This window comes from Homo sapiens, chromosome 19 (genome assembly GCF_000001405.40).
Source record: "Homo sapiens chromosome 19, GRCh38.p14 Primary Assembly".
Lineage (NCBI taxonomy): Eukaryota > Metazoa > Chordata > Mammalia > Primates > Hominidae > Homo > Homo sapiens.
In genome coordinates this window covers 55,117,660-55,132,269 of record NC_000019.10, presented here as the reverse complement: position 1 = coordinate 55,132,269, position 14,610 = coordinate 55,117,660, and the positions used below count along the sequence as shown (strand labels likewise).

Sequence of the window (14,610 nt, the reverse complement as noted above, 5' to 3'; positions counted from 1 at the left end):
TCCACCTCCCGGGTTCAAGCAATTTTCCTGTCTCAGCCTCCCAAGCAGCTGGGACTACAGGTGCCCACCAACATGCCTGGCTAATTTTTGTATTTTTAGTAGAGACAGGGTTTCACCATATTGGTCAGGCTGGTCTCAGACTCCTGACCTCAGCTGATCCTCCCGCCTCAGCCTCCCAAAGTGGTGGGATTACAGGTGTGAGCCACCATGCCCAGCTTTTTTTTTTTTTTTTTTTTTTTTTTGAGACAGAGTCTCACTCTGTCACCCAGGCTGGAGTGCAATGGCAAGATCTCGGCTCACCGCAACCTCCACCTCCCGGGTTCAAGCAATTCTGCCTCAGCCTCCCGAGTAGCTGGGACTACAGGCGCCTGCCACCACGCCAGCTAATTTTCGTGTTTTTAGTAGAGACGGGATTTTACCATGTTGGCCAGGCTGGTCTCGAACTCCTGACCTCAGGTGATCCGCCTGCCTCAGCCTCCCAAAGTGCTGGGATTACAGCCGTGAGCCACCGCGCCTGGCCCACCGCTAGTTTTTCATAATAGCCAAAAGGCAGAAGCAACTCAAATGCTCATTAACTGATGAACGGATAAACATACGTTGGTTCATCCACACAGTGGAATGTTGTCTAGCCACGGAAAGGAATGAAGTGCTGACATGTGGTGTGACACGCACGAACCTTGAAAACATACTAAGCGAAAGGAACCAGACATCAAAGGTCACATATGATTCCACTTATATGAATTTTCTAGAATAGGCAAATCCACAGAAGTAGGAAGGAGGTTCGTGTTTTTGAGGGGCTAGGGGACGGTGGGTAGAGATGACGGCTAAGAGAATGGCGTTTCTTTTTCGATGATGAACATGTTCTGGAATTAGATAGTGGTGATGGTTGCACAACGTGAATATACTGAAAAACTCTGAATTGTACTTTAGTTGGTACATCTTATGATATGTTAAGCATATCCAAATTAAGAAATTCAAAAGCAGGCCAAGCGAGGTGACTCCTGCTTGTAATCCCAGAACTTTGGGAGGCAGAGGCGGGAGGATCTCTTTTTTTTTTCTTTTAGACAGAGTTTCGTTCTGTCACCCAGGCTGGAGTGCAGTGGCGTGATCTCGGCTCACTGCAAGCTGGAGGCAGGAGGATCTCTTGAGGTCAGGAGTTTGTGACCAGCCTGGCCAACTCGAGGAAACCCTATCTCTACTAAATTACAAAAAAAAAGAAAAAAAGATTAGCTGGGCATAGTGGTGGCTGTAATCCCAGCTACTCAGGAGGCTGAGGCAGGAGAATCGCCTTGAACTGGGGAGGTTGCAGTGAGCCAAGATCACACCACTGCACTCCAGCCTGGGCGACAGAGCGAGACTCCATCACACACACACACACACACACACACACACGCACACACACACACGCACACACACACACAATGCAAAAGTAAATTTAAAAAGTGACACGTAAAGTTTCGTATGGGAGAGTCAGTTCAGTGACAATAAGTATTGTTTGCTGTTCTGCCTTTCCGACTTTCCATTTGGGATGTCTTATTAGTGACCATGTGGGTCTGGCCACTGGGCCCTAAATCCCAAATAACCAGACAGTTGCTATGCTTTGAATGTATGTATCCCCTCAAAATTTACATGTTGAAACCTGATCATGAATGCAATAGTATTCCACGGGACTTTAGGAGGTGACTAGGTCATGAAGGCAGAGCCCTCACAAATGGGGTTAATGTCCTTATAAAAGAGGCTTGAGGGAGAGCCCCTTGCCCCTTTGGCTGTGTGAGGACACAGCAAGAAGGCACCATCTGTGAAGCAGAGAGCAGGCCCTCCCTCCACACTGAGTCTTCTGGCGCCCTGATCCTGGTCTTTCCAGCCTACAGACCTGTGAGCAATACATTTGTATTGTTTGTAAATGACCAGGTCTACGGTGTTCTGTTACAGCAGCCCAAATGGACCAACACAACAGTTGATTTTCTTTTTCTTTCTTTCTTTTTTTGTTTTAATTTCTTTTTCTTTTTCTTTTTTTTTTTTTTTGAGATGGAGTCTCGCTCTGTCACCAGGTTGGAGTGCAGTGGCGCAATCTCAGCTCACTGCAAGCTCCCACTCCCTGGTTCAAGCGATTCTCCTGCCTCAGCCTCCCAAGTACCTGGGATTACAGGCCCGTGCCAACACACCCAGCTAATTTTTTTTTTTTTTTGTATTTTTAGTAGAGACGGGGTTTCACCATGTTGGCCAGGATGGTCTTGATCTCCTGATATCGTGATCCTCCCACCTCATCCTCCCAAAGTGCTGGGATTACAGGCGTGAGCCACCGTGCCCGGCCTTCTTCTTTTTTTGAGACAGGGTCTCCCTCTGTCACCCAGGCTAGAGTGCAGTGGTGCAATCACAGCTCACTGCGGCCTCAACCTCCTGGGCTCAAGCAGTCTTCCCGCTTCAGCCTTTCAAAATGCTGGGATTGCAGGTGTGAGCCACTTTGCCTGGCTGACAATAGTTGATTTCTTTCACATGTAAAAGTCTGAGTTGGGATGATGGCTCTGTTTTGTAACATTGCCTGGGTCCAAGCTCATCCTACTGTGTAGCTCCTTTCCCCAGGGGGTTGCCTTTGCCCATAGGGTAAGATAGTTCCCACTCTGTTTCAGACCGCAGACTGGGGTAAAATGGAAGGAGACATGTTTACTCCTACTCAGTCTCATTGACAGAAGTTAATTACATTATCATACCCAGTTGGTAGGGATGCTGGTGTCCCGTGCGTCTGTGGGAAGAGACCACCAAACAGGCTTTGTGTGAGCAACAAGGCTGTTTATTTCACCTGGGTGCAGGTGGGCTGAGTCTGAAAAGGGAGTCAGCAAAGGATGGTGGGATTATCATTAGTTCTTACAGGTTTGAGATGGGCGTACAAAGTACATTCAAGGGCGGGGAGAATATTACAAAGTACCTTCTTAAGGGTGGGGCAGAATATATGGTATCAGTTAGTGGGGCAGGAACAAATCACAGTGGTGGAATGTCATCAGTTAAGGCTATTTTCACTTCTTTTGTGGATCTTCGGTTGCTTCAGGCCATCTGGATGTGTACGTGCAGGTCACAGGGGATATGATGGCTTAGCTTAGGCTCAGAGGCCTGATATTCCTGTCTTATATTAATAAGAAAAACAAAACAAAATAGTGGTGAAGTGTTCGGGCGGTGAAAATTTTTGGGGGTGGTATGGAGAGATAACGGACGATGTTTCTCAGGGCTGCTTCGAGTGGGATTGGGGCAGCGTGGGAACCTAGAGTGGGAGAGATTAAACTGAAGAAAGATTTTGGGGTAAGGGGTGATACTGGGGGTTGTTAGAAGGAGCATTTGTCCTTCTAGAATTACTGGTGATGGCCTGGATGCGGTTTTGTATAAATTGAGAAACTAAACAGAAGACACAAGGTCCAAATAAGAGAAGGAGAAAAGCAGGTATTAAAGGACTAAGAATTCGGAGGACCCAGGACATCCAATTAGAGAGTGTCCAAGGGGGTTCAGCATAATTACTTGCTTGGCTGGTGAGTTTTGGGGCTCTATCTTTGAGTTTTTTTGTGTTGTCATATACCAGGCCAGATTGATTTAGGTAAAAACAACACTCTTCATTTAAAAATATACAGAGTCCTTTTTTTTTTTAGCAGTGAGTAAGTCGAGGCCTTGGCAATTTTGGAGGAAAGAGAAATGCAAAGCCAGTAATTGTTTGTTAAAGGAGGATTAGAAATGGCTGGGAGAGAGTGAGATTGATAGTGTGGTGGAGATAGCTGGGGAGAGGTAGAGGATGGCATAAGAATGGGAACCAAGGCCGGGCGTGGTGGCTCACCCCTGTAATCCCAGCACTTTGGGAGGCTGAGGCGGGCGGATCACGAGGTCAGGAGATTGAGACCATCCTGGCTAACACAGTGAAACCCCATCTCTACTAAAAATACAAAAAATTAGCTGGGTGTGGTGGCGGGCGCCTGTGGTCCCAGCTGCTCCGGAGGCTGAGGCAGGAGAATGGTGTGAACCCAGGAGTCGGAGCTTGCAGTGAGCCGAGATCGCGCCACTGCACTCCAGCCTGGGCAACAGAGCAAGACTCTGTCTCAAAAAAAAAAAAAGAATGGGAACCAGAATAACAGTGAGCATAGAAGTAAAGAATAGGACTTCATCAGGGTGAAAGTATTGGAGGGTACCTTGCCACTGAAGATCTATCCACTTCAAGAGAGACTTAAGGCGATTTGAGGTAAAACCAGGAGCCACTAAATACCGAGAGCCTGAGAGACTGCTTGGGTGATTTGACTAATAAAGGCTGGTCCGTTATCAGACTGTATAGAGGTGGGAAGGCCAAACCGTGGAATTATGTCTGACAGAAGGGAAGAAATGACTGTGGTGACCTTCTCAGACCCTGTGGGAAAGGCCTCTACCCATCCAGTGAAAGTGTCTACCCAGACCAAGAGGTATTTTAGTTTCCTGACTCAGGGCATGTGAGTGAAGTCAATTTGCCAGTCCTGGGCGGGGGCAAATCCCCGAGCCTGATGTGTAGGGAAGGGAGGGGACCTGAGCAATCCCTGAGGGGTAGTAGAATAGCAGATGGAACACTGAGAAGTGGTTTCCTTGAGGATAGATGTCCACGAAGGAAAGGAAATGAGAGGTTCTAAGAGATGGGCTAGCGGCTTGTAACCTACATGGAAGAGGCTATGAAGTGACGACAGAATAGAATGGGCCTGTGAGGCTGGAAGGAGATATTTTCCTTGGTCTAAAAACTATTTGCCTTGTGTGGGAAGAGATTGATAGGTGGCAGTTTCAGTGGGGGAGTAGGTGGGAGTGACCGATGTGAAGGAGAAAAACTGGCCGTGAGGGGCAGAAGTTGGAAAGCTAGCTGCTTCTTTAGCTACCTTATCAGCATAAGCGTTGTCCTGAGCAATGGGATCTGATGCCTTTTGATGGCCCTTGCAGTGAATGACTCCAGCTTCCTTTGGAAGAGAAGTGGCCTTGAGAAGAGTTTTTATTAAGGAGGCATTAAAGATGGAGGACACCTGCGTAGTGAGGAAACCTCCTTCAGCCTATATAACTGCATGGTGGGGCAGAATATGAAAGGCATATTTAGAGTCAGTATAAATATTGACGCGTAGTCCTTTTGCAAGAGTGAGGGCCTGAGTTAAGGCAATGAGTTCAGCTTGCTGAGAGGTAGTGGAGGGAGGCAAAGCAGTATCCTCAATGATAGATGTGGAAGATACTATAGCATAGCCTGCCTTTGCTGGTGTGTGGCGATTAGGCCTGGTGGAACTGCCATCAATAAACCAAGTGTGATCAGGCTGAGGAACAGGAAAGAAGGAAATATGGGGAAATGGGGTGAATGTCAGGTGGATCAGAGAGATAGTCATGAGGGTCAGGTGTGGTATCCAGAATAATGTGGGAGGCCGGATTGAAGTCCGGGCCAGGAACAATGGTGATTGTGGGAGACTCAACAAAGAGTGAGTACAGCTGAAGGAGCCGGGGAGCAGAAAGTATATGCATCAGGTATGAGGAAGAAAATAGATTTTGAAAGTTATGAGAACTGTAGAGAGTGAGTTGAGCATAGTTTGTGATTTTGAGGGCCTCTAAAAGTATTAAAGCAGCGGCAGCCACCACACACAGGCATGAGGGCTAGGCTAAAACAGTAAGGTCAAGTTGTTTGGACAGAAAGGCTATAGGGCGCGGTCCTGGCTCTTGTGTAAGAATTCTGAGAGCACAGCCCTGTACTTCAGCTGCGTGTGATGAAAAGGGTTGGGATGAGTTAGGGACAGCTAGTGTGGGAGCAGCTTTTAGGGCTGTTTTTTTTTGTTTTTTTGTTTCGTTTTGTTTTTTTTTGAGACAGAGTCTCTCACTCTGTTGCCCAGGCTGGAGTGCAGTGGCGCGATCTCGGCTCACTGCAAGCTCCGCTTCCCAGGTTCATGTCATTCTCCTGCCTTAGCCTCCTGAGTAGCTGGGACTACAGGCACCCGCCACCACCCCCGGCTAATTTTTTGTATTTTTAGTAGAGATGGGGTTTCACCATGTTAGCCAGGATGGTCTCGATCTCCTGACCTTGTGATCCACCTGCCTCGGCCTCCCAAAGTGCTGGGATTACAGGTGTGAACCACTGTGCCCGGCCAGGGCTGTTTTTTAAGGAATGGAAAGGGGAGTGGGGAAAGGATTTAGGATTTATGGGGTCAGCTAGGTTTATCTAGAACAGAATAATGGGTTGTGGAGGGAGGTATTGAGGATAGGAGAGTATACGGGTTTGGCACCATGGGGTGGATAGGCAAGACAATGTGGTTGATAAGGCACAGATCCTGAACTAACCTGTAAGACTTGTCTGGTTTTGGATGGGTAGGATAGGGGAGTTGTAAGGAGAATTTGTAGGCTTCAAGAGACCATGTTGTAACAGGTGGGTGATAACAGGCTTTAACCTTTTTTTTTTTTTTTTTTTTTTGAGATGGAGTCTTGCTCTGTCGCCCAGGCTGGAGTGCAGTGGCACGATCTTGGCTCACTGCAAGCTCTGCCTCCCAGGTTCACGCCATTCTCCTGCCTCAGCCTCCCGAGTAGCTGGGGCTACAGGCGCCCGCCACCAAACCCGGTTGATTTTTTGTATTTTCAGTAGAGACGGGGTTTCACCATGTTAGCCAGGATGGTCTCGATCTCCTGACCTCGTGATCTGCCCGCCTCGGCCTCCCAAAGTGCTGGGATTACAGGCGTGAGCCACCTCGCCCGGCCTAACCTTTTTAAAGCGTGCTGTGGGATGGGATATTGGTGTTGAGTGGGGTAAGGGTGATTAGGTTTTAATGGGATGGTAAGGGGTGCATGATCGGTCACCAAGGAGGGAGTAGAGGTATCCCATACTTGCGGATTAAGGTGGGGAGATACAAGGGGAGGATGTGAAGGAGGCTTTGAACTGGGGAAAAGGGTGGCAATGAGGTGTGGCTGTAGCCCAGGAATGATCAGGGAAGCAGATAATTTGGTTATAATGTCTTGACCTAATAAGGGAACTGGGCAGGTGGGGATAACTAAAAAGAAGTGCATAAAAGAGTGTTGTCCAAGTTGGCACCAGAGTTGGGGGGTTTTAAGAGGTTTAGAAGCCTGGCCGTCAATACCCACAACAGTTATGGAGGCAAGGGAAACAGGCCCTTGAAAAGAAGGTAATGTGGAGTGGGTAGCCTCCGTATTGATTAAGAAGGGGACAGACTTGCCCTCCACTGTAAGAGTTGCCCAGAGCATCTGTGATGGTCCAGGAGGCTTCCGAGGTGATGGGGCAGTGTCAGTCTTCAGCCGCTAAGCCAAGAAGATCTGGGAAGGAGTCAGTCAGAGGGCCTTGGGCCGGAGTTCCAGGGGCTTTGGGAGTGGCTGCCGGACAAGTTGGACAGTCCAATTTCCAGTGGGGTCCTGCACAGATGGGACACAGCTTAGGAGGAATCCCGGGCTGCAGGCATTCCTTGGCCCAGTGGCCAGATTTCTGGCACTTGAAGCAAGATCCTGATGGAGGAGGTCCTGTAGGAATGCTAGACCACTGCGGCGTAGGCATTTTGAAGTTCTTGTGTGCTGGAGATGTGGCTGGGGTTTCTCTCACAATGGAGGCAAGGAATTGCAACTCAGAAATATGTTGCTATGCAGCTGCCTCTACTCTATTAATGTACACCTTGAAGGCGAGGTTAATTAAGTCCTGTTGTGGGGGTTTTGGAGCTTTATTTAATGTCAGGAGCAGATTGGGTAATAAAATGCATATTGAGAATAAGAGGCCTTCTGACCCTTCAGGGTCTAGGGCTGTAAAGGGCCTCAGGGGTGCTGCCAAACGAGCCATGAACTGGGCGGGGTTTTTATATTTGATGAAAAAGAGCCTAAACACTAACTGATCTGGGAGAGGTCGGATAAAGGAAAAGGAGCATTAACCTTGACTATGCCTTTGGCTCCAGCCACCTCTTTCAGAGGAAATTGCTGGGCAGGTGGGGGAGGGCTAGCTGCAGAAGAAAACTGTAAGCTGGATCGGGTGTGGGGAGAGGAGGTGATGGAAGGATTATAGGGCGGGGGAGAGGAGGCTGAGGAAGAATTGGAGCCTGATTCAGCCTGGTGGGGAGCGACCTGAGGAGGAGCAGCCTGGGGAAGAGGGGAGAGGTCAGATGGGTCGGTAGAAAAGGAAGATTGAAAAGACTCAGTGACGCTTGGGGTTGAGACTGAGGGGACAGGCAGGAGGGAAAGAAGGAGGATTTGGGACAAGTCGCATTAGGAACAGAGACTAGGGAGGGACCAATGTGTAAAAGAATGCCTGGATATCAGGTACCTCAGACCTTTGGCCCATTTTACGACAAGAATTATCTAGATCTTGTAGGATGGAAAAATCAAAATTGCCGTTTTCTGGCTATTTAGAACCATTGTCGAGTTTGTATTGGGGTTAAGCAGCATTGCAGAAGAAAATAAGGTGTTTAGGTTTTAGGTCAGGTGTGAGTTGAAGAGGTTTTAAGTTCTTGAGAACACAGGCTAAGGGAGAAGGAGGGTCGGACGGTGGAAGGTTGCCTATAGTGAAGGAGGCAAGCCCAGAGAAAAGAGAGAGTAGAGACATGGAGAGAAGGGGTGGGGGGTGCTTGCCCCCCAGGAAAGTGGTGCTTGCCACTAAGGGTGAAGGATCAAGGCAAGCGTCCCCGTGGTGATCAGACACCTCTGAAACGTGGGTGAATAATCAAGCAGGCGTCCCCGCAGTGATTAAACACCAAGGGAAGACTGTCTTCCCGAGTCCGTGACCAGCGCTGGGGTTTTGGGTTCACGTATAAAACACGTCTCCTCTGTCTCTACCAGAAAAGGAAAGGAACTGAAATTAAGAGAAGGGAGAGACTGAAGGGTGGCGCCAAGATTCAAAGGAGAAAGAGGTTGAGGGATAGTGAGAGAGGTTGTAGAAGAGAGTAAAAAGAGACTGCTTACCCAATTTAAAATTGGTGAAATATTCCTTGGACTGGTTGGTCTGAGGACCCGAGGTCATAGGTGGATCCTTCTCACGGTGCAAAGAGCAGGAGGACAGGGGATTTATCTCCCAAGGGAGGTCCCCTGATCCTAGTCACGGCACCAAATGTCACGCACGTCCGTGTGAAGAGACCACCAAACAGGCTTTGTGTGAGCAAAAAGGCTATTTATTTCACCTGGGTGCAGGTGGGCTGAGTCCGAAAACAGAGTCAGCAAAGGTGGGATTATCATTAGTTCTTATAGGTTTGGGATGGGCGTACAAAGTACATTCTCAAGGGCAGGGAGAATATTACAAAGTACCTTCTTAAAGGCGGGGGAGAATATTACAAAGTACCTTCTTAAGGACCAGGCAGAATATATCGTATCAGTTAGGGTGGGGCGGGAACAAATCACAATGGTAGAATGTCATCAGGTAAGACTATTTTCGCTTCTTTTTTGGATCTTCAGTTGCTTCAGGCCATCTTCATGTATATGTGCAGGCCCACAGGGGATATGATGGCTTAGCTTGGGCTCGGAGGCCCGACACTGGGATATGTAACCATTATTCTAGATGGCTATGCTAAACCCAGCATAATCAGAGGTTCCATTTTGTTGAGAAAGAAGGGGACAACGAATATTGGGCAACAATTTGTCATCTCTGCCACTGAAACCACTGCTTCTCTGTCCACTACATTTTATCAAAGGCAGAGTGTCTTGCAATCAGCTTGACTTGCAAGAGGCTCAAAGGCCTCTTGGAATGCCTTGCATCAGTTTGCTTTTGTGGCATAAAAAGTTACCCCAGGTGGGCGCAGTGGCTCACCCCTGCCTGTAATCCCAGCACTTTGGGAGGCTGAGGCGGGTGGATCACTTGAGGCCAGGAGTTCAAGACCAGCCTGGTCAGCATAGTGAAACCCCATCTCTACTGAAAACACACAAAAAGTAGCCAGGCATGGTGGCTGGTGCCTGTAATTCCAGTTACTTAGGAGGCTGAGGCAGGAGAATCACTTGACCCTCAGAGGTGGAGGTTGCAGTGAGCCGAGGTCATGCCACTGCATTCCAGCCTGGATGACAGAGTGGGACTTGGTCTCAAAAAAAAAAAGCAAAGAAAAAAGAAAAAAGTTACCCCAAATATTAGTGGCTTGAGTCAACAGTCATCTATTTAACTTATGGTTTGAGGGCTGGGCGCGGTGGCTCATGCCTGTAATCCCAGCACTTTGGGAGGCCAAGGCGGGCGGATCATGAGGTCAGGAGATTGAGACCATCCTGGCTAACACAGTGAAACCCCATCTCTACTAAAAATACAAAAAAATTAGCCAGGTGTGGTGGCAGGCGTCTGTAGTCCCAGCTACTCGGGAGGCTGAGGCAGGAGAATGGCGTGAACCCAGGAGGTGGAACTTGCAGTGAGGGGAGATCGCGCCACTGCACTCCAGCCTGGGAGACAGAGCGAGACTCCGTCTCAAAAAAAAAAAAAAAAATTATAGTTTGAGAGTTGGCAAATTGGGCTGGGCTCCGCTGGGAGTTCTTGTCTGGCTGATCTTGGCTGGACTTGCTCATGCATCTGCAGTCTCCTGGTGAATCAACAGGGGCTGGCTGTGGTCATCCCACTAGTGCCTCTTCATGTTCCCGCAGCTGGACCCAGATCCCTCCTGATTATAATGGCAGTGCTAAACTAACAGTGTCATTGAGGAGTTATGTTTGGCTGATAGTAAGAGACAGCTCCCCAAATAACAATAGTTTTGGTGAATTGGAGGTTTGTTTTCTCATATGTAACCTAAAAGACAAGAGGTAGGCAGTCCAGGGAAGGAAAGGCAGATCCCAACTGCCATCAGGAACTGAGGCTTCTAAGGCCAGGTGCAGTGGCTCATGCCTGTAATCCCAGCACTTTGGGAGGCCAAGGCGGGCAGATCATGAGGTCAGGAGTTTGAGACTATCCTGGCCAACATGGTGAAACCCCGTCTCTACTAAAAATACAAGAATTAGCCAGGCGTGGTGGCGTGCACCTGTAGTCCCAAGAGAATCGCTTGAACCCAAGAGGTGGAGGTTGCAGTGAGCTGAGATCATGCCGCTGCACTCCAGCCTGGGTGACAGAGCGAGACTCCATCTCAAAAAAAAAAAAAAAAAAAAGAAATTCCAGTTCTGGATTTGACAGTCCTCAGATTGAACCTTGTCTTGGCCAATTTCTAGCTCTGTGACTGGGGCTAGTCTCTTAGTCTCTGCCTCCTGGAGTTGATGAGATGATGTACATAAAATATCTGATAGGCATGTGATGTTGGCTGTGAGCATCTTCATATGCCACTCAAGAACATCATCTTTTGCTCTTGTCTTCCTGTGGTAAAGGTTTTGTTTTCACTTCTAGGGTCTGCTCTTTGCTCTCAATGGTAACAGTGGAATGTTGGTGCTTAACCTTGGAACTGCAGGCCCTCCTCACTGGTGTAAATAACCTCAGAAAGATAAGAAGAAAATGTTCCCACTTCTTCTGTAACAGCAGAAAAATAGATATTAGTCTGCACCATAAAGATGGTTCAGATAAGCAGGTGAAGTTAGAACATCCACAAAAGTATAAAATTGACTCTTCTGTCCTGTGTGGAGAGGGGTAAGAGTATTATAAGCCCATTCTGATTTCTGTTATTTTACTCTTTTTTGATTGCGCCAGTGCAATCCAGCCTGGGCGATGACAAGAGTGAAACTCCATCTCAAAACAAACAAACAAACAAACAAAAACAAACCATAAACACAAACTCATAAACAACATACATCCAGCCACAGACATGATTGCAAATACACACAATTATACATAAAGGCACAGAATACATACAGAACCAGAGCTACACGGTAACACCCTGAAGACCGACTTCTTGTTTTCCTGGGGGAAGGAGGTTGGTGTGTAAGTATGTGGAAAGTGTGGGGTTCAGGGACCACACCTAAGAGCCACCAGAACTATCCCTTTCTATAGAAACAGGCTTCGTGGCGGATGAAGACCCCATCTTGGGGTTCCACCAGATATTCCTACTAAAGAACATCAGCTGGGTGTGGTGGCTCATGCCTGTAATCCCAGCACTTTGGGAAGCTGAGGCGGGTGGATCACTTGAGGTCAGGAGATCGAGACCAGCCTGGCCAACATGGTGAAACCTTGTCTCTACTAAAAATACAAAAATTAGCCAGGCGTGGAGCACGCCTGTAATCCCAGCTACTTGGGAGGCTGAGGTAGGAGAATCACTTGAACCTGGGAGGCGGAGGTTGCAGTGAGCCGAGATCACATCACTGCACTCCAGCCTGGGCGACACAGTGAGACTCCGTCTCAAAAACAAAACAAAACCAAACAAAACAAAACATCAGCGATGCAATGATGCTTGGGTTTGCACCAATGATATGCAGGCTTGCTCTGCACAACTTCAGCTGACCTCCTCTCCACCGGGCCCTCACGCTGCCTCCTCTTCCCTCCTCTTTCCAGAACTATTGCCACTCCTCCAGATATGATGCACAAATGAGCAGGGTCGCAGTGGGAGTGGGCGCAGTGCGCTGATGCCACGGAGGTGTTGTGCATGACGTCTGGACACTAGACTAGCTGCATGTAATGGGAAAAGTTTGTGTTGTACCAGCGCATGCCTTGGAAAGACTTAAGTAATGCAAAAGGTTGTCCTTTAAAAAAAAAAAAAATCTGGCCGGTCGCGGCGGCTCACGCCTGTAATCCCAGCATTTTGGGAGGCCGAGGCAGTCGGATCACGAGGTCAGGAATTCGAGACCAGCCTGGCCAACATGGTGAAACCCCGTCTCTACTAAAAAACAAAAATTAGCCGGGCGTGGTGGAGCACGCCTGTAGTCCCAGCTACTCAGGAGGCTGAGGCAGGAGAATCGCTTGAACCCGGGAGGCAGAGCTTGCAGTGAGCCGACATCGCGCCACTGCACTCCAGCCTGGGCGACAGAGCAAGCCTCCGTCTCAAAAACAACAACAACAACAAAAAAAAACAAAACTACTGACAAGTTGCTCTACTTAACCCAAAGAAAGTGAAGGAGAAAGCGGCTGCCTCACCGCCTAGACATTGAGTCGCCGGATGTTTCAATGCCTCATGATACAATAAAACCACAAAAATTTTCGTAACAGCAGCAGCAACAACAACAACAAAAGAGAAAGAGAGAGGGAAAGAAACAGGCCTCGTGGGATGCGCAGTTTACGTCTCCGCGCAAACCCAAGGACTTCAGAGTGGGTGGGAAACTCCCACAGCGCTTGGGAAACAGTCTGTAGTCTCTGTCCCGATTTTGGCCCTTTTCTGTATGATTTTTATGGGACTCTTCCTGTCACAAAGTGCCAGCCACCTTCCCAATCTTGAGTTGGGCGCGGGATCCGTAAGGTGAAGATCAAGGTGTGCTCATCGCTTGGGCCCGCTGAAAGGTGATTCGCCCCCCACCTGCTGGAACTCCTTGCCCGGGACCACCAATCCCAGCATGCCTTGAGAGCGCGCGAGGGCCTGGGCGGTTCCCAGGAGGTCCGGGTGGGCGCAGGAGAAGCGCGGGCCAGTGAAAGCTCTGAGAGCCCTGTCCCTGTGGACACTGTGTCTTGGGTTCCTTTACTCGGTGTGGCTCAGGGATTACCATTAGGGAGTGGAGTGTGGATTTCTCTTGCCCCGAGCCCTAAATGCCTTGGGGCCCTGCCTTGCACCCCACTGTGCTTTTAGGGGTGTGGCCCTGTGGGCTACATTTCCCAGCGTGCCCTAGGATCGTGGTCCTGACCTTTTCACCGCAAATTTCATTTCCCAGCATGCCCTGCGAGGTCACCCAGGGAAGCTTGGAAGTGGACTGTCTTTCATGGCTTCTAGGTTGCGGACTCAGTTTCCCATGGTGCCCTGGTGAACCCATTCATTCATTCATTCCAAAAATATTTGCGATCAGGTTCTCTCAGGTTCTGTTCTAAGAACCGAGGACAAGTAGTGCACAGAAGACAAAAGATCCCGCTCTCGTGGAGCTTATTTCTAGTTAAGGGGTCAGGAAAAAAACCAAAATAAATAAAACCCAGCTGGGCATGGTGGCTTACGCTCGTCATCCCAGCAGGATTACAGGCCGAGGCGGGCGGATCATGAGGTCAAGAGATCAAGACCATCATGGCCAACATGGTGAAATCCCGTCTCTACTAAAAATATAAAAATTAGCAGGGCGGGGTGGCGCGCGCCTGTTATCCCAGCTACTCTGGGGACTGAGCCAGAATTGCTTGAACCTGGGAAGCGGAGGTTGCAGCGAGCCGATATCGCGCCACTGAACTCCAGCGTGGCGACAGAGCGAGACTCCGTCTCAAAACAAAGAAAACAAAATAAAACAACAATAACAAAACAACTCTGCCTCTCCCCGCACTCCCTCCCACGCGGCTGTCCAGTCGAATTCCTAACTGCCCCGGGGCAGTCTGCTATTCATCCCCTTTACCCGGTGCTACACACTTCCTAGTATGCCGTGGGGCACCCCTCCGGCCTGTAGACTCCATTTCCCAGCATTCCCCGGAGGAGGCCCTCATCTGGCGATTTCCACTGGGCGCCTCGGAGCTGCGGACTTCCCAGTGTGCATCGGGGCACAGCGACTCCTGGAAGTGGCCAAGGGCCACTTCTGCTAATGGACTCCATTTCCCAGCGCTCCCCGCGACCTGCCCAGCACACCCTGGGGCAGCGCCGTGACGTCAGCACGCCGGGCGGGGACCGGGAGATCCTT

The 14,610-nt window shown here is 49.2% G+C and overlaps 1 non-coding gene across 1 annotated transcript, besides 2 other annotated features; it reads left to right on the top strand.

Moving 5' to 3' along the window:
• Nucleotides 8,978–9,045, top strand: MIR7975 (microRNA 7975). The gene has a single exon (NR_107015.1). It is a non-coding gene; the product is annotated as a microRNA 7975 (primary transcript).
• Nucleotides 11,250–11,339: an enhancer, noted in NCBI's record as "active region_15076". NCBI's record gives its function as "activates an Ori minimal core promoter by ATAC-STARR-seq in GM12878 lymphoblastoid cells {active_cell/tissue: GM12878}" and the evidence as "EXISTENCE:reporter gene assay evidence [ECO:0000049][PMID:35858748]".
• Nucleotides 14,278–14,557: an enhancer, noted in NCBI's record as "active region_15075". NCBI's record gives its function as "activates an Ori minimal core promoter by ATAC-STARR-seq in GM12878 lymphoblastoid cells {active_cell/tissue: GM12878}" and the evidence as "EXISTENCE:reporter gene assay evidence [ECO:0000049][PMID:35858748]".